General features: G+C 43.2%; 1 protein-coding gene and 1 long non-coding RNA gene across 5 annotated transcripts in view, besides 14 other annotated features; one reads left to right on the top strand and one right to left on the bottom strand.

Moving 5' to 3' along the window:
* The window catches only part of LCOR (ligand dependent nuclear receptor corepressor), a 163,659-nt gene extending 137,918 nt beyond the window's left edge, over positions 1-25,741 (bottom strand). For 3 of the 4 annotated variants that reach the window (NM_001346516.2, NM_001170765.2, NM_001170766.2), the window contains exons 1-2: positions 25,640-25,741; positions 24,560-24,633 (exon numbers count right to left, since the gene is read on the bottom strand). The gene's annotated coding sequence lies outside the window, so the exon portion shown is untranslated. Of the gene's footprint in view, positions 1-24,559; positions 24,634-24,924; positions 25,095-25,639 lie in introns of those variants that run through there. The other variant, NM_032440.4, reaches the window with a different exon arrangement.
* Positions 14,696-15,195: an enhancer, noted in NCBI's record as "H3K4me1 hESC enhancer chr10:98602601-98603100 (GRCh37/hg19 assembly coordinates)". NCBI's record gives its function as "activates a minimal SCP1, AML or CMV promoter by ChIP-STARR-seq in naive H9 embryonic stem cells {active_cell/tissue: H9 hESC(naive)}" and the evidence as "EXISTENCE:reporter gene assay evidence [ECO:0000049][PMID:30033119]".
* Positions 16,793-17,087: an enhancer, noted in NCBI's record as "tiled region #4280; HepG2 Activating DNase unmatched - State 5:Enh, and K562 Activating DNase matched - State 5:Enh". NCBI's record gives its function as "activates a minimal TATA promoter and a strong SV40 promoter by Sharpr-MPRA in HepG2 and K562 cells {active_cell/tissue: HepG2 | K562}" and the evidence as "EXISTENCE:reporter gene assay evidence [ECO:0000049][PMID:27701403]".
* Positions 17,730-18,229: an enhancer, noted in NCBI's record as "H3K4me1 hESC enhancer chr10:98599567-98600066 (GRCh37/hg19 assembly coordinates)". NCBI's record gives its function as "activates a minimal SCP1, AML or CMV promoter by ChIP-STARR-seq in naive H9 embryonic stem cells {active_cell/tissue: H9 hESC(naive)}" and the evidence as "EXISTENCE:reporter gene assay evidence [ECO:0000049][PMID:30033119]".
* Positions 20,267-20,767: an enhancer, noted in NCBI's record as "H3K4me1 hESC enhancer chr10:98597029-98597529 (GRCh37/hg19 assembly coordinates)". NCBI's record gives its function as "activates a minimal SCP1, AML or CMV promoter by ChIP-STARR-seq in primed H9 embryonic stem cells {active_cell/tissue: H9 hESC(primed)}" and the evidence as "EXISTENCE:reporter gene assay evidence [ECO:0000049][PMID:30033119]".
* Positions 23,788-24,501: an enhancer, noted in NCBI's record as "NANOG-H3K27ac hESC enhancer chr10:98593295-98594008 (GRCh37/hg19 assembly coordinates)". NCBI's record gives its function as "activates a minimal SCP1, AML or CMV promoter by ChIP-STARR-seq in naive H9 embryonic stem cells {active_cell/tissue: H9 hESC(naive)}" and the evidence as "EXISTENCE:reporter gene assay evidence [ECO:0000049][PMID:30033119]".
* Positions 24,502-25,217: an enhancer, noted in NCBI's record as "H3K27ac hESC enhancer chr10:98592579-98593294 (GRCh37/hg19 assembly coordinates)". NCBI's record gives its function as "activates a minimal SCP1, AML or CMV promoter by ChIP-STARR-seq in naive H9 embryonic stem cells {active_cell/tissue: H9 hESC(naive)}" and the evidence as "EXISTENCE:reporter gene assay evidence [ECO:0000049][PMID:30033119]".
* Positions 24,502-26,158: a biological region, named in NCBI's record as "H3K27ac hESC enhancers GRCh37_chr10:98591864-98592578 and GRCh37_chr10:98592579-98593294".
* Positions 24,679-24,918: a silencer, noted in NCBI's record as "silent region_2665". NCBI's record gives its function as "represses an Ori minimal core promoter by ATAC-STARR-seq in GM12878 lymphoblastoid cells {active_cell/tissue: GM12878}" and the evidence as "EXISTENCE:reporter gene assay evidence [ECO:0000049][PMID:35858748]".
* Positions 24,959-25,018: a silencer, noted in NCBI's record as "silent region_2664". NCBI's record gives its function as "represses an Ori minimal core promoter by ATAC-STARR-seq in GM12878 lymphoblastoid cells {active_cell/tissue: GM12878}" and the evidence as "EXISTENCE:reporter gene assay evidence [ECO:0000049][PMID:35858748]".
* Positions 25,059-25,778: a silencer, noted in NCBI's record as "silent region_2663". NCBI's record gives its function as "represses an Ori minimal core promoter by ATAC-STARR-seq in GM12878 lymphoblastoid cells {active_cell/tissue: GM12878}" and the evidence as "EXISTENCE:reporter gene assay evidence [ECO:0000049][PMID:35858748]".
* Positions 25,218-25,932: an enhancer, noted in NCBI's record as "H3K27ac hESC enhancer chr10:98591864-98592578 (GRCh37/hg19 assembly coordinates)". NCBI's record gives its function as "activates a minimal SCP1, AML or CMV promoter by ChIP-STARR-seq in naive H9 embryonic stem cells {active_cell/tissue: H9 hESC(naive)}" and the evidence as "EXISTENCE:reporter gene assay evidence [ECO:0000049][PMID:30033119]".
* LOC102723665 (uncharacterized) lies at positions 25,581-27,407 on the top strand. The gene has a single exon (NR_135921.1). It is a non-coding gene; the product is annotated as an uncharacterized LOC102723665 (long non-coding RNA).
* Positions 25,789-25,838: a silencer, noted in NCBI's record as "silent region_2662". NCBI's record gives its function as "represses an Ori minimal core promoter by ATAC-STARR-seq in GM12878 lymphoblastoid cells {active_cell/tissue: GM12878}" and the evidence as "EXISTENCE:reporter gene assay evidence [ECO:0000049][PMID:35858748]".
* Positions 25,859-26,158: a silencer, noted in NCBI's record as "silent region_2661". NCBI's record gives its function as "represses an Ori minimal core promoter by ATAC-STARR-seq in GM12878 lymphoblastoid cells {active_cell/tissue: GM12878}" and the evidence as "EXISTENCE:reporter gene assay evidence [ECO:0000049][PMID:35858748]".
* Positions 27,194-27,393: a transcriptional cis regulatory region, noted in NCBI's record as "candidate enhancer chr10.3525 targeted for multiplex CRISPR interference". NCBI's record gives its function as "positively regulates LCOR gene expression with high confidence in K562 cells {active_cell/tissue: K562}" and the evidence as "EXISTENCE:mutant phenotype evidence [ECO:0000015][PMID:30612741]".

Below are 27,485 nucleotides of genomic sequence, written 5' to 3'. Positions count from 1 at the left end.
TCTTAGTTTTTATTTTTCCTTAAATAACTTGAATCACAACAAACAGAACACTACCTCTTACTCAATTTTAGCCTGATACACTAGAAAAAGAGTGAGCTATTTTATGGTAAGAAGACTTCAGGGGTTAGGGAATAGGGACTGGGCAGGGTATAGAGAGAGAGGTGAAACTGAAGCAATAGCCTGGGATCAGATATCTTGGAGAATCTTGCATGCTGGTTAAAGTAACCTTATTCACATGCCTGTGGTTTCCAAACTTCAGTGTGTCCAAGCATCATTTGAGACACTTGTTAAAAATACAGATTCCCCTACCCTGCCCAAGATCATCTAGGGTAGCGGTTTTGTTCAAGCGATCGATACTTTGAAACAATGCTTTAGGCAGTATTTTTCTAAAATTTTCTAAGTAGCCCTGGGTAAAAGGGAGGATGCTGTGGAATATTCACTTTCAATAGCCTAAATTTTCACTGTTCTGCAGGTGACAAGATCATCAGCTGAGAGAGAAGTAAGAGTATATAGAGGCTAAAGAGCCATTGTGGTAAACTGCAGGGGTCGACCAAGAATACACAAAGGAATTCCCAGCACTGAGAGTCCAGCTGAAGCTGGACATGATAAATTTATAGCAGCATCAATTCACACAACTGTTAACCCACATATAAAATTAACATCTATCAAAACACATGGGATAATGGCATACTGGAATTTAAGACTTTAACATTTCCAAGTAATAAAAAAGTACAGGGGATGGCTTTGGGAATGGATGTCTGTTCTTTTTATTTCAATAATACACTAATTAAACTCTTCTACTTACTTAAATCATGTTTGTGGGTTGTAGTATCATAACCAACAATTACAACACTATTTCTTTGTCTAAAATGTCTTGTGAGATAGAAATAACTACAATTAAAATTAACTCTGCAAGATTCAAATATGTACTATATACACACATATATATACATATATATATCTATAGTAATATCTTAGTATTCACAGGTGACTGAAGAATTCACTAAAAAAAAGAGTAAGAGAATGGCTTGAAGTGGTTAAGTCTATTTTTTCTACTTCCTGAAATTAAGTAGATCTTCCCCCATACTGTTCCCTACTATTCCTTTCTAGTACAGTATCATCCCAGGTAAACAAACCTTCCCCATTTCCATAAGGCCAGATAATTTTTTTTACTTTTTTTTTTTTTGCATTGTCTACCCGTAGTGAGCTATTTCTTTTCTGCTGCCCTTACGGAGGTATCTTTCTAGAGAAAAAACAGTATTAGCTGGGCACAGTGGCTCACACCTGTAATTCCAGCACTTTGGGAGGCCAAGGCAGGAGAATCACCTGAGCTCAGGAGTTAGAGACCAGCCAGGGCAACATAGGAAAACCCTATCTCCACAAAAATAATAAAAGATTAGCTGGGCATGATGGTACATGCCTGTGGTGTCAGCTACTCACTGATCACACCACTGCACTCCAGCATGGGTGACAGAGCAAGACCCTGTCAGAGTGGAGGGGTACAGGGACGGGGTAAGACAGTGGGGACTGAAAGAGAGAGAGAAATAAAGGAAGGAAGGCAGGGAGGAAGGGGGAGGGGGGAGGTAGGGTAGAAGGAAAGAAAGGAAGGGAGGGAAGAGAGGAAGGGAAGGAAGGGAAAGAAAAGAAGGGAGGGAAAGAGGATTAAAATGCCCATTAGGGCTGGGCGCCGTGGCTCATGCCTATAATCCCATCACTTTGGGAGGCCAAGTGGGCGGATCACAAGGTCAGGATTTCGAGACCAGCCTGGTGAAATCCTGTCTCTACTAAAAATACAAAAAAATTAGCCGGGCGTGGTGGCGCATGCCTGTAATCCCAGCTACTCAGGAGGCTGAGGCAGAAGAATTGCTTGAACCCGGGAGGCGGAGGTTGCAGCGAGGTGAGATTGCGCCACTGCACTCCAGCCTGGGCAACAGAGCGAGACTCCGTCTCAAAAAAAAACTAAATAAATAAAATAAAATAAAAACAGCAATAGATGGCCAGGGGCTATGTCTCACGCCTGTGATCCCAGCACGTTGGGAGGCTGAGGCAGGCGGATCACCTGAGGTCGGGAGTTCAAGACCAGCCGGACCAACATGGAGAAACTCTGTAACTACTAAAACAAATACAAAATTAGCCGGGCATGGTGGTGCATGCCTGTAATCCCAGCTACTCGGGAGGCTGAGGCAGGAGAATCGCTTGAACCCGGAAGGCAGAGGTTGCGGTGAGGCAAGATCGCACCATTGCACTCCAGCCTGGGCAATGGAGTGAGACTCCGTCTCAAAACAAAACAAAAGCATTAGACAGGCCAGGCACTGTGGCTCATGCCTGTAATCCCAGCACTTTGGGAGGCCGAGGCAGGTGGATTACCTAAATTCAGGAGTCGGAGACCAGCCTGGCCAACATGGTGAAACCCCGTCTCTACTAAAAATATAAAACATTAGCCAAGTATGGTGGTGGGCGCCTGTAATCCCAGTTACTAGGGAGGCTGAGGCAGGAGAATTGCTTGAATCTGGGAGGCAGAGGTTGCAATGAGCCAAGATCGCGTCATTGCACTCCAGCCTGGGCAACAAGAGCGAAACTCCATCTCAAAAACAAACAAACAAACAAACAAAAAACAAAAAAAAACAGCGTCAGTCAAAACTTTTGGTTCCAGGTAATAAAAACCCAACTTAAATGGGCTTGAGCAAAAAAGGTAATTATCGGCTCGAGTAAGTTTTTTTAGAGCATGCACAGCTGGATCCAAGTACACAGAAATAATTCTCATCCATCATTCTGTATGTCTCACACAAATGCATATAGCATCACTCACAGGCAAGCTCTCCCCCCATGGTAGCTGCTTCCCACTTTAGGCTATTAGCTTAGCTACCCTAGAGAAAAGAAATCTCTTTCCCAAGAACTCCACCAACCAAATCTCAGAAGGATCCCTGAACCACTCACTCACTGTGACCAATGGCCAGACATCAGTCCCAGGGGTAAGTCAGCCTCATCCAAATCATATGGAACTCAAGAATGGCAGAAAAGGTGACTCCCTAAAAGAAAATCAAGATGCTACTGCCATAAGAGGAGGAGAGAAAGGATCCTGGGAGGGCTAAAACAAGATATTCAGTAGGAAAGGTATGATAAAACACACATATAATTTTTCCCCAAAATAATGGGGGAATAACTTAGGGAGAAAATTAAAGACACCATTTAAATGATTACAATCATATGAATGCAATTACACTCTGAAGTCAGAAAATCTTAGATTCGCATCACCAATTCTAGTACATCTGTGAATTATTTTTCTAGTCTGTTTCTATACAAAAGAATATCACTCTTTTCAAATTGACTGTACATATTAAATGGGAAAAATATCTGCTTAGCACCTATTAAGTGCTTGAAGAATACCTACTGACATGAATATGAAGAAATGGGCCAGGCACGGTGGCTCAAGCCTGTAATCCCAGCACTTTGGGAGGCCGAGGTCAGCGGATCACTTGAGGTCAGGAGCTCGAGACCAGCCTGGCCAACATGGTGAAACCCCATCTCTACTAAAAATACAAAAATTAGCTGGGTGTGGTGGCGGGTGCCTATAATCCCAGCTACTCGGGAGGCTGAGGCAGGAGAATCACTTGAACCCAGGAGGCGGAGGCTGTGGTTGAGCCGAGATCACGCCACTGCACTCCAGCCTGGGCAACAGAGCAAGACTCCATCTCAAACAAAGAAATGAAAACTGATGCTTTCTGATGTAGATTGTAAATGGCCCCAATTCTTTTTCGCTCCATGTAACTAGGCCCTTTGCCAGGTAACTTTATATCATCCTACCATTACTGTAGGCTCAATTATGTGATTTAGCCAGTAAGATATTCATTTAGTCAACGAGCTATCTCATTTAGCCAATGAGATATTAGATATTATACAAGCAGAGGCTTGAAAAGGTGCTTATTTCCAAATTCTTTGCGTATTTCTGTCATGCCAGGGTGATATGGCTTGGCTCTATGTCCCCACCTGAATCTCACCTTGAATTGTAATCTCCATAATCCCCACGTGTCAAGGGTGGGACCAGATAGAGGTAATCGAATCATGGAGGCAGCTTCCCCCATGCTGTTCTCGTAATAATGGGGGAGTCTTATAAGATCTGATGGTTTTATAGGCATTGGCATTTCCCTGCTTGCATTCATTCTCTCTCCTGCTGCCCTGTGAAGAGGTACCTTCTACCATGAATGTTAAGTTTCCTAAGGCCACTCCAGCCATGACAAACTGAGTCAATTAAACCTCTTTTCTTTATAAATTACCCAGTCTTGGGTATTTCTTCATAGCAGTGTGAGAACAGACTAAAATACGTGGTAACAGGCCCAAGCTATCCTGCTGAAGGTGAGAAACGTAGAACAGAGACTAGTTGCCCCAGTTATCCCAACTTAGGTCAACCTACATCAGCCAAATCACCCCAGACATGGAGCAAGTCCAGCCAAAATCAGCAGAGCTGCCTAGTCAACAACAACACAGCTGACTACATGAGCAAGCCTAGACCAGATTAGCTGAACCTCAAACTCTTGAGTTCAATAAATGCTTCTAGTTATACATCACTAAGGTTTTGTGATTGATAAGCACCATTACTGTGACATCAGGTAACTGAAACACTATCTTATTTTGGTAGGTGAATAAAGAAAATAATTTTTATTCTTCCGTTTATGATGTTAAAAGGTGACAACAGGCTGGGTGCAATGGCTCACACGTGTAACCCCAGCACTTGGGAGGCTGAGGCGGGCAGATCACTTGAGGTCAGGAGTTCAAGAGCCTGGCCAACGTGGCAAAATCCCATCTCTACTAAAAATACAAAATTAGCTGTGCATGGTGGCACGTGCCCATAATCCCAGCTTCTCAGGAGACTGAGGCAGGAGAATCGCTTGAACCCGGAAGGTGGAGGCTGCAGTGCGGTGAGCCAAGATCACACCACTGCACTCCAGCCTGGGCAACAGAGCGAGACTCCACCTCAAAAAAACACAAAAGGTGACAACAATAACAAAATAAAGTGTATTCCTATTATCATTACAAATTTACTATTCAAGCATACCTTTAAAACTGTTAGAAATGGAGAACCAATGTTTAACTTCAACAAAGTTTAGATGTTTTAAAATGTTTTAAGTTCATAAATAATAGAGAAAATGAGAAGAGACAAAGCTACTCACATTATAACAAAATGAAATTGTTTTATGGAAGTCATATAAACAATGATACAAAAATAGAGGCAAAATAGTCACTAAAAAAAGACTTACTGACTATATTTCATCATGGAACTCTCCTTCTAGTTAATTTCACTCCCTTAACTATCACCACCACCATTGCTTCTACTTCTACCATTGCTTCTACTTCATGGAGCTCTATCTCCATGGGCTTCTGAAGAAGCCTGTTTCCCTAGAATAAAATAGATATACAGGTTGAGTATCCCTTATCCAAAATACTTCAGACCAGAAGTGTTTCAGGTTTAGGATTTTGTTCAGATTTTATAATATTTGCATATACATAATGAGATATCTTGGGGATGGCACACAAGTCTAAACACAAGATTCATTTACGTTTCATATGTGCCTTATACACATAGCCTAAAGATAATTTGTCGGTTTTTGTTGTTGTTTTTTGAGATAGGGTCTCACTCTGCCACCCAGGCTGGAGAGCAGTGGTGCATCTCAGCTCACTGCAACCTCCGCCTCCTGGGCTCAAGCAATCCTCCCACCTCAGTCTCCCAAACAGCTGGGACTACAGGCATGCGCCACCAGACTGGGCTAATTTCTTTTAAAAATTTTTTGTAGAGACAAAGTCTCACTATGTTTCCCACACTGGTCTCAAATTCCTGGGCTCAAGCGATCCTCCCACCTGAGCCTCCCAAAGTGCTGGGATTACAGGCATGACCCAATGTGTTTGGCCTAACCTAAAGGTAATTTTATACAATATTTTTTAAATTTTGTGAATGAAACAAAGTTTGTATACATTGAAGCATCAGAAACCAAGATGTCACCTTCTCAGCCACCCATGTGGACAATGTATGATTGTGTGGCATTAGCATCATTCCTGACTCTCAATTTATATGCTACCAATAAGCAACCTTATTCTTACACTTATTCACACATAAGGACTTAACATTAAAAAATATGACATACCATTAATACGTGAGAAAATAATGTGTTTGGGGTAACTAAGAGCACAGGAGCATCACCAGAATACCTGAATCAACTGTTAAACAACAACAACGTCAGGCTTTCAGTCTCCATCTACAATGCTATGTTCTCACTGAAAAATTACTGAACACTGTATTTATTTTGGGGGGTGAAAAGAAACATCAGAAGCAGTTGAGAGACCCAGAAGTGGATCCTCTAAGAATGTGGAGGAATTCTTCTGGATGGCTTTTTTAAAATGTTTGCTCCAGAGTCATCTGCCTCATTCACAACATTTTCTGTCTTAGAAGTCTTTCTTCAATTTCATAAACTGACATGATTTCACCATGTTCTCTCTCTGATTTTAAACACTGACATGATTTTACCACGTCATCCACAGGCACTTTTTCGGCAGTGTTAACATCACCATCTTCATCGTCACTATAATCACAATCATCTTGATTCATGGCATCCTTCATGCTAAAACTTCGTTTGAAAAGCTTCCACACCCACATCTCTGTTCACTGCTGCTAGTGTGCTGCTGAAGAACGTGTTTAATCTTATTTTATTTACTCTTCATTCATCTAAGGATACCCTGGTTACACGGTTGAATTAAGTCACATTTGGGGAAAAGTACATGGCATAAACATTTCTGATGAGAATTTCAGCTGGAGGATGACAACAGTTATCAAGGAATAAAGAATCCTGCAGTCATCATCCAGTCCAGCTTCCCTGCAGTAAGCATGAGCAGTAGTACAGAATGCTTGTGAAACCAATCAGAAAAGATGTCCCTCGTGATCCACGCCTTTCTGTTAGCGTAATAATGGACTGGTAAGAAATTCACTCCTTGAAAACAGCAAAGATACAAGCTTTTGCCTATTACATCAAGTTTACTCTTATGCATGCCTGCTGCATTATTAGCACATTCCAGAACAGTTATTCTGTCCTTGGCATCCTTACTGCCTACAGGGGCCTTTGCATCAGCTGTAGTCAGTATCTTTCTGGAGCAATAATGCCAGAACAGTGATGTTTCATCAGCATTACAGGCTTGTTCTGGCATCAGATTGTCATCAGTGATGACCCTAGAAAATCTGTCAATAAATTTCTCTGCTGCTCCATGATCAGCAGATGGTTCAACACAAATCTTTTAAAATTTAGTAAGCCCAGCACAGTCGCTCATGCCTGTAATCCCAGCACTTTGGGAGACAGGTGAGAGGACTGCTTGAGCTCAAGGGTTTGAGAACAGCCTGGGCAACATAGCAAGACCTGGTGGCATGTACCTGTAGTCCCATACTCAGGAGGCTGAGGTGAGAGGATCACTTGAGCTCAGGAGATCAAGGCTGCAGTGACCTATCATCACACCATGCACTCCAGCCTGGGTGACAGAGATGCTGTCTCAAAAAAATAAATAAATAAAAAATAATAATTTAATGCCATATCTCTTCTTAAATTTCTGCAACCAGCCTGTTGAACATTCACAGTTCACTTCAATTTTCAGTTCATCATGCTTGATCTTTCTTTTTAAATATGGGGTCTCACTATGTTGTCCAGACCAGTACTGAACTCTTGGGCTCACATGATCCTCCCACCTCAGCCTCCCAAAGTGCGAAGATTACAGGCGTGAGCCACTGCGCCCGGCCTTGATCTTTCCGCTTCATGACAAGCATACCAGTAAGTGGCATGTGTTCACTGTGATGCTGATGGATCTACTCTTTCAAGATCTAATCAAGGTCATTTTCAGCTTCATGCAGTGCTTTTCTATTTTTTACTAACTTCTGCCCATCACTTTCAACCTAGAACTTTAATAATTTATCCTACTGTATTTTTCAGGTCATATATACAGTGGTCATTCCAACAACATACTCTTCTGTAAGACATTTCAGACATCACTGTCAGTTTTTCCAACAGCTTGACTTTCTTTGCTAGTAATGCTTTCCCTTTTTCTTATTTGTTTTACCCACAGGGATATCTGCAGGACTTTCTGACAATTCCAACAATATCTTCACGTCAGAGAGCAGAGAATAAGCAAAAAAAAAAAAAAAAAAAAAAGTGAGTGACACACAGAGGTCTTGGTCCCATCATGGGGCATCATGGGGATCCTGCCACTGACACATCTGGTCTGCACACATGCCATCTTATTACGCTTTGAGGGCACACTTGCTTGGGGCAATCTGGGCATATATAGAAAAGATGTATCTCAGCTGAAAAGCACCGGGAGGATGTTTTTTCCCTTTGGGGACACTGAATAAACTGTATGTTGTGCACCTGCATTTTGACTCCAACCCATCACATAAGGTCGAGTGTAATTATCCACTTATGGTGTTACTTCGGTGTTCAAAAAGTTTCAGATTTTGGAGCGTTTCAAATTTGGGATTTTCAGATTAAAGACGCTCAACCTGGCTGGGCGTGGTGGCTCGCGGCTGCAATCACAGCACTTCGGGAGGCCGAGGCGGGCCAATCACCTGAGGTCAGGAGTTCAAGACCAGCCTGGGTGACATGGCAAAAACCCTGTCTCTACTAAAAATACAAAAATTAGGCCGGACGCAGTGGCTCACGCCTGTAATCCCAGCATTTTGGGAAGCCAAGGTGGGTGGATCACGAGATCAGGAGATCGAGACCATCCTGGCTAACACAGTGAAACCCTGTCTCTACTAAAAATACAAAAATTAGCCAGGTGTGGTGGTGCACACCTGTAAGTCCCAGCTGCTAAGGAGGCTGAGGCAGGAGAATCACTTGAAGCCAGGAAACGGAGGTTGCAGTAAGCTGAGATTGTGCCACTGCACTCCAGCCTCGGCTATAGAGGGAGACTCCGTCTCAAAAAAAAAAAAAAAAAAAAAAAAAAAAAAGACAATTAGCCAGGTGACAGAGAGGATCTGTCTCAAAAAAAAAAAAAAAACATTTTCAACTCATATACACTTATTTTTAAAAATTAATTCAGTTTCTTGATAGTTTCAAAAACATAGATCTATTTATTTTATATGCACAAAAACAAGGAAAAAGTATAAAGAAAAGATAGAAATATATTAAATGAGGAAGAAAGGTGAATGAAAAACTGTTATCATCCAAAAAAGCTAACCATTCCTGAAAGAATATTCCTGGCAGAATCCTAGCCTGTGTTTTTGAACAAAATAACTGAACATCCTGTATAATAATCTTCAGATGCAATAATCTGAAGATCCTCAGATTCTGCCATCTGAGAACATCCTTTCAGCATCCAGTTTTTATTTTTTGTTGTTTTGTTTTGTTTTTGAGATGGAGTTTCACTCTTGTTGCCCAGACTGGAGTGCAATGGCGCGATCTCAGCTCACTGCAACCTCCGCCTCCCAGGTTCAAGTGATTCTCCCACCTCAGCCTCCTGAGTAGCTGGGATTACAGATGCCCGCCACCACAACCGGCTAATTTTTGTATTTTTAGTAGAGACAGAGTTTCACCATGTTGGTCAGGCTGGTCTCCAACTCCTGACCTCAAGTGATCCACCTGCCTCGGCCTCCCAAAGTGTTGGGATTACAGGCGTGAGCCACCATGCCCAGCCCAGCATCCGGTTTTTAAAGTGTGGTTATTTTAAAATCTAAAATCAAAATATAACAGTAACAGTTATCACTATGTCATTGCTTATACTTCTGTTCCTGAGTCACAGAAACTACAGATTGGCAGCAGCATGATATAACAAGAGAATTTTCCTGTTTCTTAACACAGCTTATATTCTTAACATTCTTTCCTAGTTGTAACTGGATATATATTCACATTCCTCAAAATAGTTGATTTGATCTGGATCATTTCTTAAAAAATATCTGACAAAATACAGGCTGACTTAGGTATAGTAATTACTAAGAGCATTCTTACCTAAACAACTTCATATGGTTTTAAGAAATAATTTATACTGAGTAATATCTGAGAAGTAACATACAAACACTTTTCAACCATTTAACAAAAACAAACCTGCCACTTTTTCCAAAATAAAGTTTAAGTCCTCAGGAAAAGGGGGGAAAAAAGGCAAAAACCGGGTCTTCAATCCTCTGCTATCTTGCCCATGCCACAGTGTCAGTTTCTTTCTTTTTACGTTAACTACAGAACACTCTTCTCCATTAATTTACATTCTCTTGCTTTTAAAAGATCAAAGTTTGTAGGTAATTCAATCTTTTTAATAGTTTTAGTACTTTTGACCAGGCTGGGAGGGGTGGTTCACGCCTGTAATCCCACCACTTTGGGAGGCCAAGGTAGGCAGATCACCTGAGGTCGGGAGTTAAGAGAACAGCCTGACCAACATGGAGAAACCCTGTCTCTACTAAAAATACAAAATTAGCCAGGCGTGGTGGCACACGCTTGTAATCGCAGCTACTCGGGAGTCTGACGCAGGAGAATTGCTTAACCTGGGAGGCGGAGGATGCGGTGAGCCGAGATCGTGCCATTGCACTCCAGCCTGGGCAACATTAAGAGCAAAACTCTGTCTCAAAAAATAAATAAATAAGTAAGTAAATAAATAAATAAATAAATAAATAAAATACTCTTGACCAAATAACTCATTCAGGACTGTTACCGTGTGCTTTTTTTTTTTTTTTTGAAAAATTAAGTCACACATAAATTTCTATTATAGCTTCTGGTAACTCCTTCCTAAAAGTCTTCTCAGCTAATGTGGAAAATTCTAGCTTCTCTTTTCATTTTTTGAGACAGGGACTGGCTCAGTCACCCAGACTGGAGTGCTGCGGCATGATCATGGCTCACTGCAGGCTTGACCTCCCAGGCTCCAGCAATCCTCTCATGTCAGCCTCCCAGGTAGCTGGGACCAACAGGCTCGCAATACCGCATGTGACTAATTTTTGTATTTTTTGTAGAGACGGGGTTTCACCATGCAGCACAGGCTGGTCTTGAACTCCTGGGCTCCAGCAATCCTCCCACCTCGGTCTCCCAAAGTGCTGGAGCCACTGCCCCCAGCCTGATTTCTCTTTTCTATCTTTACTCCATTTATCCACTTACATACCTTTACCTTTCACCAATAAAATGTACTAATCTTTGATATGGATATGTTACATAAAGTTAAGCAGAAGTTCTTCTCCTAAGGAGAAGGGGACCAAAGGGAAGGTTCTCTTTTAGATAAGATTGTACATTTGCAGCCATAAGCCATGGGTCTTTTTGAAACTGTTTTCAGTAGATGTATGGGGGTTTCTCAGTATATGTCTATTTATTTTAACATGCCAGAATCTATTTTAATAAAAACTATACAATGAAAAGCTATACACAGTAAATATATACGCAAATAAAAACTGGTTATACAAGTCTCACAAAGGAAATAGCTTTATCACTTTACTCATACCTGTTTGCTTTATTTTGATTTGTTTTGTTTTAAGAAGCCAGTACAGACAGGCACAGTGGCTCATGCCTGTAATCACAGCATTTTGGGAAGGCTGGGATGGGAGGATCACTTGAGCCCAAGAGTTTAAGACTAGCCTGGGCAACATAGGGACACCCCATCTCTAGAAGAAAAAAAAAATTAGCCAGGCATGGTGGTACACACCTGTGGTCCCAGCCTCAGGAGGCTCAGGTGGGAGGATTGCTTGAGCCTGGTAGGCTAAAACTGCAGTGAGCCTAGAATGCACAACTGTACTCCAGCCTGAGTGACAGAGCAAGACCCTGTCTTAATTTAAAAAAAGAAAAAAAAAAACTTAAAGCCAGTACAACAAAATTCCAGTTTTGTTTTTGTTTTGAGATAGAGTCTTGCTGTGTAGTCCAGGCTGGAGTGCAGTGGTGCAATCTCGGCTCACTGCAACCTCCACCTCCCACATTCAAGCAATTCTCCTGCCTCAGCCTCCCGAGTAGCCAAGATTACAGCTGTACACCACCATGCCCAGCTAGTTTTTGTATTTTCAGTAGAGATGGGGTTTTACCATGTTGGCCAGGCTGGTCTCAAACTCCTGACCTCAAATAATCTGCCTGCCTTGGTCTCCCAAAGTGCTGGTATTACAGGCGTGAGCCACAATCCCCGGCCAATCAAATCATTTTTAAAAGACATATTAGCTCTATTAAACATTCATAGAAAAATGACCAGTGTAAAGGTTTTTCTCAGTAACAATGACCAAAGATTATGGACTTCTTGATGCTCACCCATAATTACAGTATTTTACTGTAATCAGATAAGCCCATTTTGGCCGGGTGCGGTGGCTCACACCTGTAATCCCAGCACTTTGGGAGGCCGAGGCGGGTAGATCACGAGGTCAGGAGATCGACATCATCCTGGCTAACACGGTGACACCCCGTCTCTACTAAAAATACAAAAAATTAGCCGGGCGAGGTGGCGAGCACCTGTAGTCCCAGCTACTGGGGAGGCTGAGGCAGGAGAATGGCATGAACCCCGGGGGGCAGAGCCTGCAGTGAGCCAAGATCACGCCACTGCACTCCAACCTGGGCGACAGCGAGACTCCGTCTCAAAAAAAAAAAAAAAAAAAAAAAAAAAAAAAAAAAAAGGATAAGCCCATTTATAAGAGGCAAACTTTGTCAGCTTCTTTACTAGATGAATAAAAATTCACATAACCTAACACACAGGAAATTAGTGTTTATATCATTCATGGTGCAACAAAAGAGCCACATTTGAAATGTGAAATACTCATAAACACCGACGTTCCCCTCATTTTTTCTTACTGAAGGCAAGAACCTTCACATTTTATTTTGATGGGAATTTCTCCTTATTACCTTTGTCACAACGTCTTCCTGTGCCTGCTAGTAATCATTTTGTCTAAGACCAATGATGTATGAGTTATCATCTTTTTTTAAGTTGATTTTTAAGCTTTTATTCATTTTTTAAATTTATCCAATTTCTTCTTCTCCTTCTCAGTAATTACACACTACTCAGCAACTTCCTTTTCTGTCACACAATTTAAAATATTGCCAGCTAAACTAAATTTAAGTCACAGAAGGTTGGAAGTGAAGAAAAGGCATTTGGCTAGATTCAGGAGTCCTGAATCCTGACCTCAATCTGCTTTAACCTGTTTGCCCCTCCACCACCACCCCACACTTCCTTGAGGTCTCTGGGAAGAATATCAATAGAAGAAAAGGCCAAGCAGCTACACTGTTAAAAGGCCTTTGTTACAAACTCCTATGAATTAGGCTGGTCTACACAGAAGACTCTGTAGGCGTAGAATCAGTATCACTCAGATACCCTCTGCTGCCTTTCCCTCTCCTAAGCCTACGCTCCAATCTCAGTTAATGGTGAAGAATGGCCAGTTGAACAAGATAAGAAGGAAAATTAAGCCAGTGGAAACATTCAGCTCAGAAACTCATTTAGCTAACAAAACTAAAAAATCAAAAAGAAAAAAGGAAACACAAATAGGACTGTGACAGCTGAAGAGAAGGAGGCAAGGTATTCTAGTCAAAGCCAGAGAACAGAAAATGAATAGAATAAACTCCTGTTTATGGTAAGATTATGGGTAGAGAAACCAAAATACCTTAATGTAACATAAAGCACATAAGCAATCAGTAATTAGAAACAAAGACGGGCAACTTAATGGAAATTCTAAAAGAAGGGCATATGCATAATGCTGAAGATTGAAGAAAACTGGGTAACAAAGCAAGACCCCGTCTTTACAAAAAATAAAAATATTAGCCAGGCACCATGGAGTATACCCATAGTCCCAGCTACTAGGGAGGCTAAGGCAGGAGGATCAGTTGAGTCCAGGAGTCGGAGGCTGCACTGAGTTAGGATCATGCCACTGCACTCCAAGCCTGGGTGACACAGTGACCCCTGTCTTGGGGTGTGTGGGGGTACAGGAGGGGAGGGAGGGAGGGAAGGAAGGGAGGGAGGGGGGAAGGAAGGGAGGGAGGGAGGGTGGGAAGGTAGGTAGGTTAAAGAGCATAAAATTTTGATTTCCAATCCCAGGTCTACCACATTTTAGCTGAGTGATTACGAATCAAATCTGTAATCTCCCTAAATCTGTTTCCCCGCCTGTAAAACAGATGTTAACAACATCAAAGGTCTCTTGTCTGTCACACAGTAAATGCTCAACATATGGTAGCTTTTAAGAAACATTACAAGTAAACAAAACAGAAGCAAAAACTTCTCCATATTTAAATGTCTTATTTATTTCTTTAAACTTATGAACCACTTGATGGGGATGCGAGGTGGGAAAAGGAAGATGGTGCCATACAAAAGGATACAACCAAGATTCAATACTAAATATGGTGTCTGGAATTTGCTCCAAAATAATTCAGTTAGGGATGAAACAAGAATAGCCATTAGTTGATGTAGCTGGGTGTTTGTTCACTGTACTATTCTACTTTTCTGTATGTTTGAAGTTTTCCAAACTAAAAGATTTATTTTAAATTCCTTTCCCTTTAAATGATATGGCTGGACAAGAAAACAAGTTACGTCATCCTTTCTAGCTTTGATAAATACTGAATCGAAAAAAAGGTAAAAGAGAACAGGATAATATCCAGTGGGCAGATATAAGGGTAAATACCTACAAACAACCTAGAAAATACGCTTGCATTGGGCCAAAGACACTTATGCCTGTAATCCCAGCACTTTGGGAGGCTGAGGCAGGAGGACCACTTGAGGCCAGGGGATCGAGACAAGCCTGGGCTACATAGCAAGACCTCATCTCTACCAAAAACAAAACAAAACAAAAACTAGCCAGGCATGATGAAACATGCTGCATTCCCAGATACTCCAGGGGCTGAGGCAGGAGGATCACTTTGACCCCAGGAGTTTGAGTTTACAGTGAGCTATGATCATGCCGCTGCATTCCAGCCAGGGAGACAGAACCAGACCTTGTCTCCAAAAAAACAAACAAAACATGCTTGCATTGACTGGAAGGAAGAGGAGTAGCCAGGTAAAAGTTCACAAATATCCATGCAATGGCAACAATAAAAAAACGTGAAAAACAAGAGATCATCAAACTGAATCTGTGCATGACTCAATTTAACAAATTCAACATTCGCTTCCTCTACATACAATGTATACTTATTTCAAAAATTTGTATAAACTAGGGGCGGGCCATGATGGCTCACACCTGTAATCCCAGCAATTTGGGGGGCCAAGGTGGGTGGATCACTCACAGTCAGGAGTTCAAGACCAGCCTGGCCAACATGGTAAAACCCCTCTCTACCAAAAAAAACAAGAACTAGTGGGCTGTGGTGGCATATGCCTGTAATCCCGGCTACTCGGAAGGCTGAGGCAGAAGAATCACTTGAACCTGGGAGGAAAAGGATGCAGTGAGCCGAGATCACACCACTGCACTCCAGCCTGGGTGACGGAGCCAGACTCAGTCTCAAAAAAAAAAAAAAAAGAAAAGAAAAGAAAAAAAAGCAAGCTTTTTAGAAAATTTTTGTATCAACTGATCATTCTAAACGTACCAGAGGAGCCTGTTACTATATTAAATCAGATATGAATTATGTTGTAAAGTGAAACAGATGTCTTTGTGGTAAATTCACATTTTCACATGTGGAATTTTCTTTTATCAAGTAGGATACATTCTATAGATCCCTTTAGTTTCTCTTTCCTATTTATGTATGTATGTATGTATTTTGAGATTGAGCCTTGATCTGTCACCAGGCTGGAGTGCAGAGGCGCAATCTCGGCTCACTGCAACTCCACCTCCCGGGTTCAAGCGATTCTCCTGCCTCAGCCTCCCAAGCAGCTGGGGCTACAGGTGCATGCCACCACACCCGGCTAATTTTTGTATTTTTAGTAAAGATGGGGGTTTCACCATGTTGGCCAGGACGGTCTCGATCTCTTGACCTCGTGATCCACCCGCCTCGGCCTCCCAAAGTGCTGGGATTACAGGCATGAGCCACTGTGCCTGGCCTCTCTTTCCCTTTATACTGTGAGTTTAGGAAAGGTAAAGCATGCTTTTACCTTCTGCAAAACTCTAAAAAATCACGTACTAAGAGAACTATACACAATAATCATTTTTTGATAATGATAAAATGATTCAGATTTTATGAAAAATAAGCTAATCATGAGATCAAAAACAACAGTCACAGACTATCTAGTATTATGAGTAAAAATAATAATGCTCTGGCCGGGTGGAGTGGCTCATGCCTGTAATCCCAGCACTTTGGGACGTTGAGGTGGGAGGACTGCTTGAGTCCAGGAGCTCGAGACCAGCCTGGGCAGCATAATGAGACCTCATCTCTATATTTTTTTATTATTTATTTATTTATTTATTTTTTAAAACAACAGGCTTTCCAATAATAGCAATTATCATGGGAAATAATACTGGTGTTCACAACATCTTCTAATCCAAAAAGAAAGTCTTGGCCAGGCGCGGTGGCTCATGTCTGTAATCCCAACACTTTGGGAGGCCAAGGTGGGCAGATCACTTGAGGTCAGGAGTTCGAGACCAGCCTGGCCAACATGGTGAAACCCCGTCTCTACTAAAAATACAAAAATTAGCCGGGCATGGTGGCACACACCTCTAATCCCAGCTACTCGGGAGGCTAAGGCAAGATAATTGCTTCAGCCTGGGAGATGGAGGTTGCAGTGGGCCGAGATTGTGCCACTGCACTCCAGCCTGGCTGACACAGCAAGACTGTCTCAAAAAAAAAAAAAAAAAAGTGTAAGTTTTCTAGAAAGTATTAAATGTGTCATGCAGATATATAAGATGGTGATACCATTAATACATTTTCTGATACTTTCTGCTTTCTGTTATTTTAAAGAGTTAATTATTCATCTAGATTACTGCACATTTAAAAAATTCTTGTGAGACAACTATATGTTTCTAAGTAATCCCCTTCACCTCTGTAAACAACTGTGATGAACTTCTCTTTTTTCCTGAGACAGGGTCTCACTCTGTCCCTCAGGCTAGAGTACAGTGATGCAATCATGACTCACTGCATCCTCGACCTCCTGGGCTCAAGCGATCCTCCCACCTCAGCCTTCCGAGTAGCTGGGACTACAGGTACACAAAACCACACACAGCTAAAGCTAATTTTTGTATTTTGTGTGGAGACAAGGTTTCACCATGTTGCCCAGGCTTGTCTCCAACTCCTGGGCTCAAGCGACTTGCCTGCCTCAGCCTTCCAGTGTGCTGGAATTACAGGCGTGAGCCACCTGGCCTGTGATGGACTAATTTTCAATGATTCAGAAGTTATAACAAACGCTGCTTTACTTCAAATGGTATTGTTATAATAGTTTTTAATACAATTGTAAGGCACAACTGAGTAAAATTTATTTTTTGTCTTTAAGCTCTAGAAAACATTTAAAGTCTAAAGAAAAGTCCCTTTAGACAGGTCTAGACCAGGAGCAGTGGCTCATGCCTGTAATCCCAGACCCCATCTCTATTTTTCTTTAATCTAAATTTTAAAAAATATATAGAGAGGAAATTTTAAAATAGACATGTCTGAAGCATATTAATTTCTAGTCTCCCAATACCAAATTTGAAACGTTAGTCTAAACCCTAGTTACAGCCATCATTTTTTTCTTTTAGCAAACCCTGACGTATCCTGCTCTTATACTAACAAATGCACATTACACATGACAGGATCCTTCTATTACCCTCAATTATAAGAACTTCATTATAGTAAAGATACAACAAATACTAGTTTTTACTATGTAAAATTCACTGGCTTGCACAATAATGAATTCAGAAAAATGATTAAGTGATATGCTAAAAGAATCTACAACTCTCTTTATCAAAAAGTAGATTAAAACATGAAACAAAGGAATAAAAAGAAGACCAAAAATCATTAGAAGATGCCACTCATTACTACACAGCTTTCCTAACTTGACCCTCACAATCCATTAAGCAAAAGATTCTTAAATTCGGCCATCTACCCCATAAGATACTTAGTTTCATCCTTAAGACATCATTATACCTGACACTTTGTAACAGACCAAACCTAACCAATTCAAAAATCAGAGAAACCAAGAATCAACGAAATTCAAACAAACACTTTAAAAACAGTATATTTAACTTAGCACCAGGAAACAAAATATAAACCAGGGGTGGTGGCTCACACCTGTAATCCCAGCACTCTGGGAGGCCAAGAGAGGCGGAACGTCAGGAGTTTGAGACCAGCCTGGCCAAAAGGGTGAAACCCTGTCTTTCCTAAAACTACAAAAAAATTAGCTGGGTATGGTGCCACCCGCCTGTAATACCAGCAACTAGGGAGGCTGAGGCAGGAGAATTACTTGAACCTGGAAGACAGAGGTTGCAATAAGCCATGATCACGCCACTGCAGTCCAACCTGGGCAACAGAGCCAGACTTCGTCTCAAAAAAAAAAAGCAAGAAAAAATATATTGTATAACTTGTCAGATGTCTGGGTTTTTATAAAATGCAAACAAAAAAAATGTAATCTTAAATTTCAAAAATACTGCTAGTGAGATTCCTCTCACTACCCAAATTCTCACTAAACTCAGAAATGGAACAGATTCATTCAAAACATTTGTGACAGGGCAATATAGAGCAAAGGTGTCCTTCTCTATCCAAACTCTTGCAAATGGAGTTGTAATCCCATAGTACTGGGATTACAGGTGTGAGACACCGCACCTGGCTTTTCTTGAGAATTCTATTTCGTTCTATTACTACGCTCCTTATTCTCTTCATAAGGTATCCTGCAGTTTAGCTTTTGTTACAGTGTATCTGGTCATGTATTGATCTGTATTTGTTCTTAAATGGGGAGTATGAGAAAAAATATCTGCAAAGCATACACTGTAAGTATATCCAGAATATATACACAATTCTTACAATTCAACAATAAATAATAACCCAATTTTAAAAATGGGCAAGGGATCTGAATAAATGTATCTCCAAAGGTATGCAAATGGCCAACAAGCACATGAAAAGATGCTTAACACACTGTTAGGAAAATGCAAATCAAAACCACAATGAAATATAACTTGTCTTATTTTTTTGTATTTATTTCTTGTTTTTTTGAAATACGACTTCATACCCACTAAAATAGCTATTATATAATCAAAACAGATAACAACAAGTGTTGGAGTGGATGTGGATAAACGGAACTGTCATACAGTACTGATGGGAATGTAAAATACCGTAGCCACTTTAGGAAACAATTTGGCAGTTCCTACGAAATTAAAACAGTTACCACATGACCCAGTAATTCCATCCTAGGTACATACTCAAGTGAACTAAAAACAAATGTCCACACAAAAACTTGTACACAAATATTCAGAGAAGCATCATCCATAATAGCCCCGAAGTGGAAACAACCCAAATATCCATCAACTGATTAACGGATAAACAAAATGTGGTATGTCCACACAATGCAGTGTTATTTAGCCATAAAAGAAACAAAGTGCTGATAATGCTACAACATGAATGAATCTTAAAAACATTATGCTAAGTGAAAGAAGCCAGGCACAAAAAGCCATATATTGTATGACTCCAATTACATGCTATGTCCAGAATAGACAAATCCACAGAAACAGAAAACAAATTATAGTAGCTGCCAAGAGCTGGATCATAGGAAGAACGGAATGTGGAACTGCCTATGGATGTGGGGTTTCTTTTTTAGGAAATAAAAATGTTTTGAGGGTGGGTGTGGTGGCGCACACCTGTAATCCCAGGACTTTGGGAGACTGAGGCAGGAGGATCACTTGAGCCCAGGAGTTCAAGACCAGCCTGGGCAACATGGCAGGACCCCACTGCTGAGAAAAAATAAAAATAAAATGTTCTGGAATTAGACAGTGATGATATATGTACAACCTTGTATTTGAAATAACTGAAACCCACTAAGTTGTTATGGTATGTAAATTATATCTCACTTAAAAAGTGAAAAAAAATTCAAGGTATGGACCACTGTACTTGGGATACTTGCTGAATACAAGAATGGTCAATAAAATGAGCTAATGGTTTATATTGGATTTTTACCCCCAGAGCAATGTGCAAGTGTATAGAATAGTAAAAGGAATTTAAAAATAAACACAGATAGACTAGAAAATAATTTATACAGTAGTGATGTTGAGTTTTTCATTTGAAACTATGAAAAGTAACAGCTTTGCTTATTTGCATCTATCCAATATCACAAACTGAGATTCCACACAACAGATGGACAGACTTACGGGAAATATGAATTAAGAGAGAGGTTCAGAGGCACATCGAAACAAATCAAGCCCCTCTACTGAGCTTTCCGAGCTAGACTGCAAGCCAGGGAAGAAAGCCAATCCCATTATTTAACATATACCTTTAATTGCCACATTTCACAGCAAATACTTTTTGACTCTTTCCAAATACCAACTCCAACTTCCAAGGATGATAATCTGTCAATCCTAAAGGTATTCCAAAAATAGGTCTGTAACAGCAATGGAAGGCATAACCTCCAAATGAGCTTGCTTAGAAGATAATACTCTTGTGGATGATAATATTGTCCCTGTAAAGGTGGTTTAAAAAAGAATCTGTCGGCCGGGCACGGTGGCTCACGCCTGTAATCCCAGCACTTTGGGAGGCCGAGGTGGTGGATCACGAGGTCAGGAGTTCAAGACCAGCCTGGCCAAGATGCTGAACCCTCATCTCTACTAAAAATACAAAAAAATTAGCTGGGCGTGGTGGCACGAGCCTGTAATCCCAGCTATTTGGGAGGCTGAGGCACAGAATTTCTTAAACCTGGGAGGTGGAGGTTGCAGTGAGCCAAGATCACGCCACTGCACTCCAGCCTGGGCATACATAGAGGGACGCAGTGGCTCATGCCTGTAATCCCAGCACTTTGGGAGGCCAAGGCGGGCAGATCACGAGGTCAGCAGATCAAGACCATCCTGGCTAACACGGTGAAACCCCGTCTCTACTAAAAAGACAAAAAATTAGCCGAGCGTGGTGGCGGGCACCTGTAGTCCCAGCTACTCGGAGGCTGAGGCAGGAGAATGGCTTGAACCCAGGAGGCGGAACTTGCAGTGAGCTGAAATGGTGCCACTGCACTCCAGCCTAGGCGACAGAGCGAGACTCCGTCTCAAAAAAAAAAAAAAAAGAATCTGTGTCATTTTTGTAGAGTTCCACAATGAAATCCTTAACTAAAGCTACCATTCCTCCCCTGAGCTAAGGAAAGAAACGTGTTGCAAACTGCAAGTTGCCTAACAAAAAGTCTCCACTTTCTAACCTGCATTAGAAAATCCTACAACCTACCTTTGCAAACCTATCATGTGTATATCCCTTACACTAATCATGAACTGCAGTTTAAATTGACAAGTCATTGCTGTCCTTCTCCACTTTTGCTCATGCCATTTCTCATGAATGGAATGCCTTTTCCATCAGAACGAAGCAAAAATCCACCACCTTCTTCACGAAATCGTCCATCAACTCGGGAGAGATTTCACTTCTAAACACCCCTAGCATTTGCTTGCACCATCATATGACACACTATGCCTTGTACAATAACTGATCGATTACATTACATTTTCTCTAAGGTTTAAAAGTTCCTGAAGGTTGAGGCAACTTTCCCAGACTTTGTTTGCCCACAGTGCCTGGTAAAAAACAGATGCTTGTTTAAATGAAGTAAACACCTAACTGCCCTTCATCCTAAAAACAGCATCAATACAAACAGCTAAATGATCAGGCAGGTACTCTGAAGTGGCAAGTTCTATCAGGCAAGTGACTTTGGGAGGCTGAGACAGGAGGAGTTTGAGACCAGCCTGGACAACATAGCCAAACCCTGTCTCTAAAAAAAACTCTAAATAAAAATAAAAGTGGCATCAAATAACCAATTCTCACTATGTAAGAAATTCCAGGCCCCCCTGTGTAGCACCATAAGACTAAAAAATGGCATTGTTCAAATACTTCCTAGAATTGCTCCAGCTACAAGAACATTTCAGGAAATTAGGGCAATCTGAAATAACTTTCTGAAAGTCAAAGAGACTCATCTGCTGTCCTATTTTTAGCCAAGCTAGAGCTAAGCTGAAATCACCACAACTTTCCCCACATTAGGAAGAGCTTCTTGAAAATACAGCAAGGGCAAGGTGCAGGAAAGCAAAAGGTTACATCATATCAGGCGCAGAGAGAGCCTAGATCTTCCTGGAATCTAAACTGATCATCCTAGTCTCAGAGGACTCCTTAATAATCACCTGGTAACCAAATATCATCCATCTTGATCATAATCACTGTCTGAACCCAGGACTAACTCCAATTCAACTGAACCTAATCATTTAATCAGCAACATCACCACCACCACCTGCCCCCACACCCTCCAAAAAAGTACTAATAGAAGGGAGAATTCGATTTTAGAAATGAGAATTAATTTTTAATCCAAACTGCTGTAAATTAAATACCTTCCAGAAACCAAATGACCCTAAAGTATTAAGATAATCAGTCAAGAGAAACAAACAGGTTGACCGTTTAGAACCAATCCCACTAAAAAATTATTACATCTGGAAGTAAACAAGTTACCTTTTGAATTGCCTAAGGATCACTGCCAGTCCTTTTAAATATAGAAAGTTCTTAACACTACAATTAATTTACTTAGAACTCTCCTCTTAAAAAACAAAATTACATATAATAAAAGAGAAAATATGAGGCCCCACTGATTTTAGTTGAGAGACTATGAATATATGTTACTGCTCAGATTAAAATATTGCTCTGCACTCTGGACTCTATAATCTTCTGAACTTTACTATCTTTAAAGTGGAAATTTGGAGTTAAAAGTATGCTTTAAGAAATTTGATCACCAGATTAAAATTTGCCTTCAAAAAATGAATCAAAATGTTGATATTCCATTCAGATATTTACAGAAATAATTTATCAGTCATAATTTTAAAAACCAAAAACACGGCCGGGCACAGTGGCTCTCACGCCTGTAAATTTCAGCACTTTGGGAAGCCGAGGCGGGCGGATCATGAGGTCAGGAGTTCGAGACCAGCCTGGCCAATATGGTGAAACCCCGTCTCTACCAAAAGTACAAAAATTAGCTGGGCGTGGTGGCGCACGCCTGTAGTCCCAGCTACTCGGGAGGCTGACGCAGAAGAACCGCTTGAACCTGGGAGGCGGAGGTTGCAGTGAGCCGAGATGGCGCCACTGCACTCCAGCCCGGGCAAAAGAGTGAAACTCCGTCTCAATAAAGAAAAAACAACAACAAAAACAAAAACAAAAACACATCTTGTCAAGCAGCAGTAACTAACCACTAACTAGCAATGACTGAAAAAATGGGGTCCTGAGGCAGGAGCCCAGGATTAAATGCAAAGAGAATTAGAATAAGATACACTAATTAAAACCATCTAAATTAAAGCAACATGGAACTCAGAAAATCTACAGGACAGGACTACATTATAAATTTAAAAATCTTTCAAAGACTAAAAAGCCCTGCTGAAAAAACCAATCACTAACAAATGTAAAACATACAAGAACTAAAAATTCTTCAAAACAATTCCAGCATTTGATACTAACCCACAATTCTGAAAACGCATTAATTTCATGCTTCTCAAAACCTGCTATATGCTCTCTTCTATGATAGTCCGAAATACCAAGTAATTCAAAAAGTACTTAAACCGACGTAACATTTTAGTACATGCATAATAATACTTTGAAAGAATAAAACAAGCAGAGATAGAGCAGAGTACAGGATAACTGATAGGCAAAAGGCTGTTTGTTTCCTGGAGGGCAGCACTGGTCTTGGATTGGCAGGAGGGGAATTTTAAAATATATTCATGAGACGAATTATACCAAAAAACTGACTCATGCCTTTATTATTTGCACAAGCATATGTTTGAAAATGCACTTTTAACCTTTGGACAACCAAACTGGTATCAGATACCTTAAAGCATTGTTGCCTATATTAATTTCGGTGTTACAGTCTAAATCCTTAACGAAACTCACGCTATACATTTTCGTAATGAAACCCTGTAGAAATGGAAAGGCGTATATTCTTTAAGTAAAGGTTACCTGATTTTTCACTTGTTTAAAGTTTCAATTTTGCTTTTTAATCTATTATCGAAAACATCCCTTGTGGGACATTGTAAAGGGCAGACCCTCCTGTCAAGCCAGAAGGCTCAAACACAAAGACACTGAGCTAACCAAGTGCTGTAATTCTTCCAAACTGAGCCTCTCCACACCCCCTCCACCCTTCCCCCCAACAGATATGTCTATTAAATCAGTGTCTGTTCTCCCCCTCGCACAACAAAGAGAACTTCTCACCGCATGAAATTGCCGCTGAATGGACACCAGAAAGCAGGATTTGCATAATTCCTTCCAACGAAACCCTGTCGGGAAGGAGGGAATGAGGGGCCCAAGCGAACGGATAGACTCTCCTAGATTCTGCCGGGAAAGACCTGGTTCCCAAGAATATTCCCCTGGGGGAGAAGGGGCTGGAATTCTGGGCCTCCCCGAGGACTGGGCGTGGGGGACAGCGGACGACGAGAGGGCATCTCCCCACACACCAGCAGCACCGAAGCAAAGACGGGGAAGTAACAATGCTGGAGGACAGGAGAGTCAGACACAAGGATGGACTGGGGCTAGGGGGCGGCGGGCGGAGCGGAGACACCACACGGGCCACTTACTTTTTGGAGGGGGGTTAAATATATGAGTTAAGCCCTTATGGTCCCGCCGGCCGCCGCACAGAGGGAAACGGGACCTTGGGAGAGAAAAACAGACAAAACACACAGTGTGAGAGGCGCAGCTCGGCCGCCCGGCCCCTCCCGGGGCGCCCCCGTCCGCGCTCCCTCCGGCCCGCAGGGAAAAAGCCACCCGAGGGCGGCCCAAGGTCCGGGAGGCGGGGGGCGGACGGGGCATTCGGGCGAGGCTGCGGCTCCGGCCAATCCCCGGGAGGGGACGAGAGCGACCCCCGCCGGGGCTCCTCGGTCGGACCCGGTCCCACCCCCTCCTCCCGCAGCACGACACCGAACACAAATACGCACACACCGACCCGTGCGTCGAGGATTAACTCCCCGGCCACCGCCGCCCGCTGAGGAAGTGCAGCCGCTGCCCCCCGCGGCCATGACACCCCACTTGGCTCGGTCAGGCGCACCCGGGGACTGTGACAGCTCCAGCTCCCTCCGCCCCCATCTCCACCTCACGCTTCGCACACGCCCGAGCGCCGGGCGCCCGCCTGCAGCCCGCCGCGCGTGCACGCAGACCCGGGGGCGCGCCCCGCGCGTGGGGGAGGGGTGGCGCAGGAGGAGGACGGCGGCGGCCACAGCGCGGGTGGGGGCCGAGCACGCCCGCGCCCCTCGCGCCTCCCCCAGTACAGCGGCAGCGCCGCGAGGCGAGTCGCCACAATAAGCCGGCGGCGGCGCCGGGGCGCCGGGCCTGGAGCGGGAGCAGGGGCGGGAGCGGGGAGGGAGGGGAGCGAGCAGGCGGGGATGGAGAGCGGGAGGGGGAGGAACCCGCGCTCCCGCCGAGAGCCAGCCCCGGGGAGGCGCGCGGAGGGGAGGGGCCGGCGCGCGCTCGGCCGAGCAGGGGAGCCCGCCTGGAGGTCGCGCGCGCTCACACTCCGGGGGGTGGGGGAAGGGGGGACGCTCGAGCCAAAGAGGGCGGGCGGGCCGGAGCAGCAATTGCCACTTCCCCAGCTTCCTCCCTGGTCTGGGGCGACCGGCGGCGGGGCGGCCGGAGGGGCGGCGGCGGTCGGCGGAGGGTCTCACCTACACAGTGAATGAGCTTGTGGCGCCACGAATCCAGTTCTTGCCGAAAGCCGCGTCTCTCAACGGAGCATTGCTGCCGCCTACACACCCTCGCCATCTTCTGCCGCCCGCCCGGCCCAGCCTCCGCCGCGGCCCCGCGCACGCCCAGCCGCGTCGCCCGGGGCCGCGCACGCACCCGCGGCCCGGGCGTCGCGCCTCCTGCCGGGGGCGGTGCGGGGGCAGGGCCGGCCTCACCTCACCGTGGCCCCGGCGTGGCCCGGGGGCGGCCTGGGCCCGCTCACCCGCCCCGCGCGCCGCCCGCCGGGCTGCGATCCCGCCGTCCTTCTACGCGGCTGCCGCCGCCTCTGGCCGCCCGGGACGGCGCCTTCCCACAGCCGGAAGTCAGTCCCGCTGGCCCCGCGCCGCCTTCGCACTGTCCCCCAAGGCCACGGCTGCCCCCGCCCTCCCCGGGGCTTTTTGTTTTTTACGCCAGCCCCATTTATCACTTCCAACCTGCCTATCGCCCGGCACCAACTGTTGCAAGTTCCGTAATAACTGCTGCTATGAACTTCTCCGTCGAAACTGCTCCTCCCCAGAGCCTGTTTAAGAAGCAGAAATAAGAATAAATTCCCGGATGCCGGTGGATGCACTGACCTCTAAGATTTTCAAAGGTGAAGTGGATACACGTTATTAAGTCATTGGGAGACATCGCCAACATTGGGAAACCTAGTAAAAAGTGGAAATCGAGCGTTTTAAATAAAAAAAAAAAAAGGTTTCTACTAGCAAGACTGATCGTAGGCGAACTTCTCAAGGAATTTTGGAATATTGTGCCAAAGTGAGAATATTTAATATTTCCAAAAGTAGACTTAACTAGGAATACTTAAAGCAGAGACTATTGGAAATGCTTTAATTTGGGATTTCAGGAAAGGGCTTGAAGAGAAATATTTTATATGAGCAAGCCTCTTGGAATAATTGAATCACCTTAATTTTGTCACTGTTACTTCGAAGAGAACGAGAAGAGAGAAGATGGGAAACGAAAGGAGAAAGGGAAAAGAAATGGGGTGGAAAGAAAAAAGCAGAAGAGATCGCCCTATACCAGTAGGCCTAGTACCCTAGGATTCTGGCCTCTTTCTCCCACCTTTGGTGTTTAAGATTAAGGACAGTGCATTCCTGCTTTTAGAAATTTAAATTTAAGTTTGAAGACTTAATTTTAATTACTGTAGTAGGTAAAGCAAAGTCGTTAAATACTTGACATCAGGATCCCATTGGAGTATTGATTTAGGTCTTTTCAAAGGTGGTGGTCCTGGTTCTCTGCACCAGCCACTGGCGGAATGGCGGAATGGTGTATCTACCAATGAACAGATGGACTGGGTGGGCCTCGGGTACGGGTGGCTTGAGATGCAAATGCAAGGGTAGGAAGGCACCTTCCCCCCCACCACTCCCAGCCCACCCCGCCAATCTTAAAACATTGATCTTTATAAAATTCGCAAACGTCCCACAGGATTTCATTGGCTTAAGAGTATTGTCAAATGAAGACGCCAGGAAGTATTGAGTTTCTGGGTACATAATACTGTCCTGAGTGTTGAAGGAAGAGGACTAATACGAGATTTTAAAAAATGGCTGTGGACAACCATCCTTCAGGTGTGATGGCAGGACATCTTGTATCACCTGAAACTTCCTTTTTTCGCCGCTAGGTGGTGGGTGTGAGTCTTTTGCGGCCTTTAAGTTTCTACGGTGTTTGGAGGAAATACGTTTCAGTTTCAAATAAATGAACAACGTGTAACTCTAAGATGAGTAAATAATCAATGTGTTTTCCAACCACCCCAAGTTAATTTGTTTAAAAAACAATCAAACCAAGGGTAATAAT

This window comes from Homo sapiens, chromosome 10 (genome assembly GCF_000001405.40).
Source record: "Homo sapiens chromosome 10, GRCh38.p14 Primary Assembly".
Classification (NCBI taxonomy): Eukaryota; Metazoa; Chordata; class Mammalia; order Primates; family Hominidae; genus Homo; species Homo sapiens.
This window is presented reverse-complemented; position numbering and strand designations above follow the sequence as displayed.